The sequence below is a fragment of the Homo sapiens genome, chromosome 2 (genome assembly GCF_000001405.40).
Source record: "Homo sapiens chromosome 2, GRCh38.p14 Primary Assembly".
In the NCBI taxonomy this organism is placed as follows: Eukaryota; Metazoa; Chordata; class Mammalia; order Primates; family Hominidae; genus Homo; species Homo sapiens.
Genome location: NC_000002.12, coordinates 235,269,944 through 235,276,090, shown reverse-complemented (window position 1 = coordinate 235,276,090; position 6,147 = coordinate 235,269,944). Strand labels below are relative to the sequence as shown.

Sequence of the window (6,147 nt, the reverse complement as noted above, 5' to 3'; positions counted from 1 at the left end):
TTTACATCAAAATTTTAGAATTAGCTTGACAGTTTCTACTATAAGTCCTGCTGGGATTTGTATTGGGACTGCATCAGTTCTATAGAATGGGGGGAAATTGTCATCATACAATATCAAGCCTTTCAACCCACACATCTCTCTATTTATTTGGGTTTTCTTTGTTTCGGCAATGTTTGTATAGTTTAGTATATACAGGTCTTGTACATCTTTTGACTAATGTATCCAAAGTATTTTATATTTTTGATGCTATTGTAATTGGTAGTTTGGGAATTTCAGATTATTTGGTCCTAGACATACAATTGATTTTTTCACATATTGATCTTGTATACATTTCAAACTAAATTACTTATTAGTTTTAGCAGCTTTTCTGTAGATTCCATTTGCTTTTATATATAATCATATCACAGTGAAATAAAGACAATATTAATTCTCCCTTTTCCATCAGGATAAATTTTATTTCTTTTTTATTGTCTTACTGCACTGGCTAGAATCTTCAGAAATAGAGGCGATAAAAATAGACATCCCTTACTTTTTCCTGATCTTAGAGAGAAAACAGTCAGTCCTTTACTACCTAGTATGGAGTTAACTGTAGATTTTTCATAGATGTTCCTTATCAGATTGAGGACATTCCCCTCTAGTGCTGCTTTACTGAGAGTTAGATTTTTCTGTGTTTGTTGAGATGATAACATGGATTTTTCTTTTTTAATCTGTTAATATGGTGAATACATTGATAGATTTTCAAATGTTAAACTAACCTTGCTTCCCCAGGAAATGCACTGGTTATAATGTGTTATCCTTTTTTGTATTGTTGGATTCTGTTTGCTACAATTTTGTTTTGAATTTTTGCATTTATGTTCATGAGAGATACTGATATGCAGTTTTCTTCTCTTGTAGTATCTTTGACTAATTTTGGCATCAGGGCAATGCTTGCTTCATATAGTGAGTTCAGAAGTGTTCTTTCCTTTTCAATTTTCTGGAAGAGTTTGTTTGGAGTTAGTATTATTTCTTTCTTAAATATTTGGTAGAATCCACCTGTAAAGTTATTAGGCCTGGGGATTTTCTTTTTTGAGGGGGGATTTTAAAGTACAAATTCATTTTTAATGATTGGTGTAGGGTTATTCAGATTATTTCTTTCTCCTTGAGTGAACTTTTATAGCCTGTATCTTTCAAGGAATTTGTCCACTTTGTTTAAATTATCAATCATAGGTATAGAGTTGTTAATGATATTCCATGATTATTCTCTTCATTTCTGTAGAATCTGTAGTGGTGTCACCTTGTTCATTACTAATGTCAGGAGATTATGGATTCTCTGTCTTTTTTTCCTGAGTACTTTGCCCAGAGGTTTACTAATGTTATCGATATTCTTCAAGAAGCAGCTTTGGCTGTATTCTCTTTATTTTTATTTTCATTTAAAACTTTGAAAAATTTCTTTGATTCCTCTCTGACCTTTATTTTTTGGGTTTAATTTGTTATTTTTTCTAGTTTCTTGAGGTGGAAACTGAAGTCATTGATTTGAGACCTTTTTCTTTTTCTAATATTGGCATTGTGCTATAAATTTCCCCCAAATGCTGTTTTTCTTCCCCATTTAATAATGTCTTCTAGAACTACTTCCATATTAATTTATAGAGATCTTCCTAATTCTTTTGTTTTTCAATTTATTTTTTCTGGGCTTTAAAAAATAATCTTTTTATTTTAGGATAGTTTAAATTTATAGAAAATTTACAAAGATAATACAGGGAGCTCCTATACACCTACACCCAGTTTTCCCTATTGTAATACTCAGGGTTCTCCAGAGAAACAGAACTAATAGTATGCACATATCTAGAAAGAGATTTATTATAAGGAAATTGGCTCACAGTTACAGAGGCTGGAAAGTCCCCAAAACTGCAGGGTGGGAAAGGAGGAAGCTGGAGACTCAGGAGAAACGATGGTGTAGTTCTACTCCAAAGGGCCAGCAGGCTCAAGACCTAGGAAGAGTCAAGGTTTTAGTTTGAGCCCAAAGGCAGGAGAAACCAATGTCCCAGTTCGAGTCCAAAGACCTCTCCTGGAGAAAACTTCTCTTGCTCAGGGGAGCATTGTTTTTTTTTTTTTTTATTTTATTCAGGCTTCTCATTGATTAAATGAGACCCACCTGCATTACAGAGAGCAGTCTGCTCTACTCAACGCCTGCTGATTTAAATATTTATCTTATTCAAAGAGATCCCTGCAGGGATGCTCCAAATAATGTTTGATCAAGTATCTGAACATCCTGTGTGGTCCAGCCAAGTTGACACAGAAAATTAATTATCACAGCTATTTTTAACATCTTACATTAGGATGGTACATTTGTCACAATGAATGAACCGATATCAATACTTTGTTATTTACTAAGGTACATAACTTAGTTATATCTCTTTAGTTTTTGCTCAAGGTCCTTTTTCTCCTCTGGGATCTCATCTAGGATATCATGTTACATTTACTCATCAGGTCTCTGTATATTCATCTTGCCTGGGACTTTGACTGATAAGTACTGGTTAGGTTAATTTATAAAATGCCCCTCAATTGGTATTCTTTTTTTTTTCTTTTTCTTTCTTTTTTTTTTTTTTTTGAGACAGAGTCTCCCTCTATCACCCAGGCTAGAGTGCAGTGGCATGATCTTGGCTCACTGCAACCTCCACCTCCTGGGTTCAAGCTGCCTCAGCCTTCCAAGCTGGGATTACAGGCGCTGCCACCACACCTGGTTAATTTTTGTATTTTTAGTACTGACGGACGGGGTTTCACCATGTTGGCCAGGCTGGTCTTGAACTCCTGACCTCAAGTGATCTGCCCACCTCGGCCTCCCAAAGTGCTGAGGTTATAGGCGTGAGCCACGGTGTCCAGCCTCAATTGGTATTATCCTGATGTTTTTCTCATGATTAGACTGAGGTTATGAGTTTCCAGGAGGACACTACACAGATAAACGATATTCTCTTCACATCAAATCAAGGGTACACTGGATCAACATAACTTATCATTGATGATGCTAACCTTGATCACTTGGCTTGAGGTAGTATTTGCCACGTTTCTCCACTGTCAAGTTACTCCCCACCTCCCGTTTTAATACTGGACTCTTTAGAAGGAAATCACCAGGTGTGGCCCATACTTAAGAAGTAAGGAGTTATGCTTCTCCCATCTGAGGGCAAAATATTTATACAAATCATTTGGAATTCATCTCAGAAGATTTGTCTATACTCATTTATTTATTATTAATTAATTAATTTATTTATTTTTTGAGCCGGAGTTTCACTCTTGTTGCCCAGGCTGGAGTGCAGTGGCGTAATCCCGGCTCACTGCAACCTCTGCCTCCTGGGTTCAAGCAATTCTCCTGCCCCAGTCTTCCAGGTAGCTGGGATTACAGGTGTGTGCCACCATGCCCAGGTAATTTTGTATTTTTAGTAGAGACGGGGTTTCTCCATGTTGGTCAGGCTGGTCTCGAAGTCCTGGCCTCAAGTGATCCACCCACCTCAGCCTCCCAAAGTGCTGGGATTACAGGCGTGAGCCACCACACCCATTACTTTATTTACCCATTCAATCGTTTATTTGTACCTTTATGAATTCATGGACATTTATTTTATACTTGGGTTATAGTCCAATATCACTGTATTTTCTTCTCAAATTATCCTAGCTTGGGTCATTGGGAGCTCTTTCCATTGGCTCCTGTGTCCCTTTGATGTTTCCTGTTGTTGTAGTGTGTGTGCTTGCATGCATGTGCATGTGTGCATGTATGTGCGTGTGTGTGCATGCGTGTGTTGTTTGAGCTTCCTTACCTTCTGGTACTATAAGAAGTTCTAGGCTTGTCTTCTATATTTCCTGCTCCAGTCCTAGAATCAGCCATTTCTCCAAGGAGCCCTGATTCCTTTCACTGAATAGTGGGATTGGAAACTAAGATCTGGCAGTAGCGAGTGATCATTGTTCCTGGAGTGTCATTGTTTCTAGGCTCTCTTAGCTGAAAGAATGAGGAAATACATGCATGTGGCTCATTCTTTGTATAGCTGCTTATTATTCTATTGTATGTATGTGCCAGAGTTTACTGAACCAATTTCCTGGGTTCAATAGATTTGTTTTTGCTTGGACATTTTGGTAGTTTCCAATGTCTTGCTATTAGAAACAATGCTTCAGTGAATAACCTTGTGCATCTGTATTTTCATATTGTTGGAGGTAAATCTTGGGATAAATTCCTAGGAGTTGCTGAGTCAAAGCCCAGATGCATTAGGTAGATCTTTTGGATATTGCCAAATTCTTTTACATAGGGGTTGCACACAGAATTTGGATATTGCCAAATTCTTTTTCATAGGGGTCACAACAGTCATTAATCAGCTATGATTAAGTATCATAGCTGTGATAATTAATTTTCTGTGTCAACTTGGCTGTACCACACAGGGTGCCCAGATACTTGGTCAAGCATTATTTGGGGCATTTCTGCAGGGATCTCTTTGAACAAGATGAATACTTACATTTGCCTTCCCACTAGCAATGCATGGTAGGAATGTTTGTTTCCCCACAATTTTGTCAACAGAGTGTATTGTCAGGCTTGTAAATTTTTGCCAATCTGATGGGTGAGAAATGGGTTCAGGGGCTACACAATTCTCATGGAAGGTCTTAGGCTTTCCAAACTAATAGCTGGCAACAATAAGCTAAGACAAAGGAATCTGAAGGCTTAGGAATGAAGTAAAGAAAATCCCTCTCCTGGGCTCCATTCTTACAGAGTTTTAAGAATGCTACAAATAAAATAAATTTAAAAAATAAATGAAGATAGAAAAGAGAAAAAAGGAATAACACAGAAATAGATCATTTCAGTTCACATGTTCTCAAGCAGAACTAAGATTCTGAACGATGACTCACAAACCCCAAAGAAAATCTGCTTCTTAATAGATGTATTACAACCCATGTGGCAATGTGTGATAACTAGTTCTTTGTGGTTACCTGTGACCAAAATCTAACTTCCTTCAAGGCTCTTTCTCTTTCTGCGGCTGGCCACTGAGGTTGCGGCAGTGTTGCAGACACCCACAGCTTTTGTTTTACAATTTCTCTGGCATTCCAGGTTATGGTACAACATCTCTAGAAGTTAATCCTCACTGGTCAAACTATATTCTTTCCATTGCCCGGGTTTTTTAAACATGAAACAAAGAATTCAGAGGAATTCCTTTTTCTCCCAGGAGGAAGCGTTCCTAATAAAGACCCAGTTGTATCAAAAGTAGGAAGGAAATATTACCTTAAGTAGCTTTAAGTTGGCACAAAAGAAGAAGCTGCTAGTAAAATAATAGCAGCAGCTGGCCTTAAATGTTGGTTTAGTTTTTCAAATAATTCTCCCTGCTGTCTCATTAGAGGATCCCCCTCCTCTATCTCTAGTGAGGTAGGGGAAACGGCACATTATCCCATCGTACAGATGAAGAAAGAGTTGGTGTGGGTGGAATAGGAGCTTCTGCTCCAGCGAGAGAACTGGGATGCGTGTTCTAGTCTGCACTCCCTTTGACTCAGAAATGGAATACAGTTGTTGAAAAAAAAGCCCAGGGGTCAGAAAATAGAGCCTTGTCCCTGTGTGACATCAGCAAGTTGTAGAACTGTTTCAGTCTCAGTTTCTTTGTCTCCCACAGGGGGAGAAAATATAGACTCTAGGACTCTGTAACGGAGGTCAAGGCACACACATATAGAGACATGTTAGTCTTGTTCTACCAGGCTATTATTCATTTAATCATCCATTCACTGAATACCTTTTGACTGTCAAAACTAGATTACAAGTTGCTGGGCTTGGAGTTGTGGAGAGACCCCCCGTTGGCTGTTATGAAGGCATACTCCCCCCATGATGCCGAGACCAACCACACACGAACTTGGTACCACACCCTCCAAATTCTACTCTGGCAGACAGAGAATTGCTCAAGTCATGGGCAAAACTCCCAAATGTCCTATTTTTCAATTCTCTGATTTACCTTGCTGGATTTACCCAGGCCTAGGAAGATATTTCTCCATTTCCAAGCTGAGATTTTATGTTTTTAGTTGAATATTATCTTCTCACTCTTTCTGGAGAAAAATTAAGTGCTGCATACCTTAAAAAGTTTACAATATTTGACCATGAATGAATGGATTGTTGACATACTCTGTGGCAAAGAAAAATGTCAGTTAAATTTGGAT

General features: G+C 38.0%; 1 long non-coding RNA gene across 1 annotated transcript, besides 1 other annotated feature; it reads right to left on the bottom strand.

Moving 5' to 3' along the window:
* On the bottom strand, positions 1,863–5,474 carry LOC105373940 (uncharacterized). The gene is made up of 3 exons (XR_924009.1): positions 5,231–5,474; positions 3,786–3,964; positions 1,863–1,967 (listed from the first exon to the last, which is right to left on the bottom strand). It is a non-coding gene; the product is annotated as an uncharacterized LOC105373940 (long non-coding RNA).
* Positions 1,899–2,466: an enhancer, noted in NCBI's record as "OCT4-NANOG hESC enhancer chr2:236182269-236182836 (GRCh37/hg19 assembly coordinates)". NCBI's record gives its function as "activates a minimal SCP1, AML or CMV promoter by ChIP-STARR-seq in naive H9 embryonic stem cells {active_cell/tissue: H9 hESC(naive)}" and the evidence as "EXISTENCE:reporter gene assay evidence [ECO:0000049][PMID:30033119]".
* Positions 5,475–6,147: the final 673 nt, after the last annotated feature.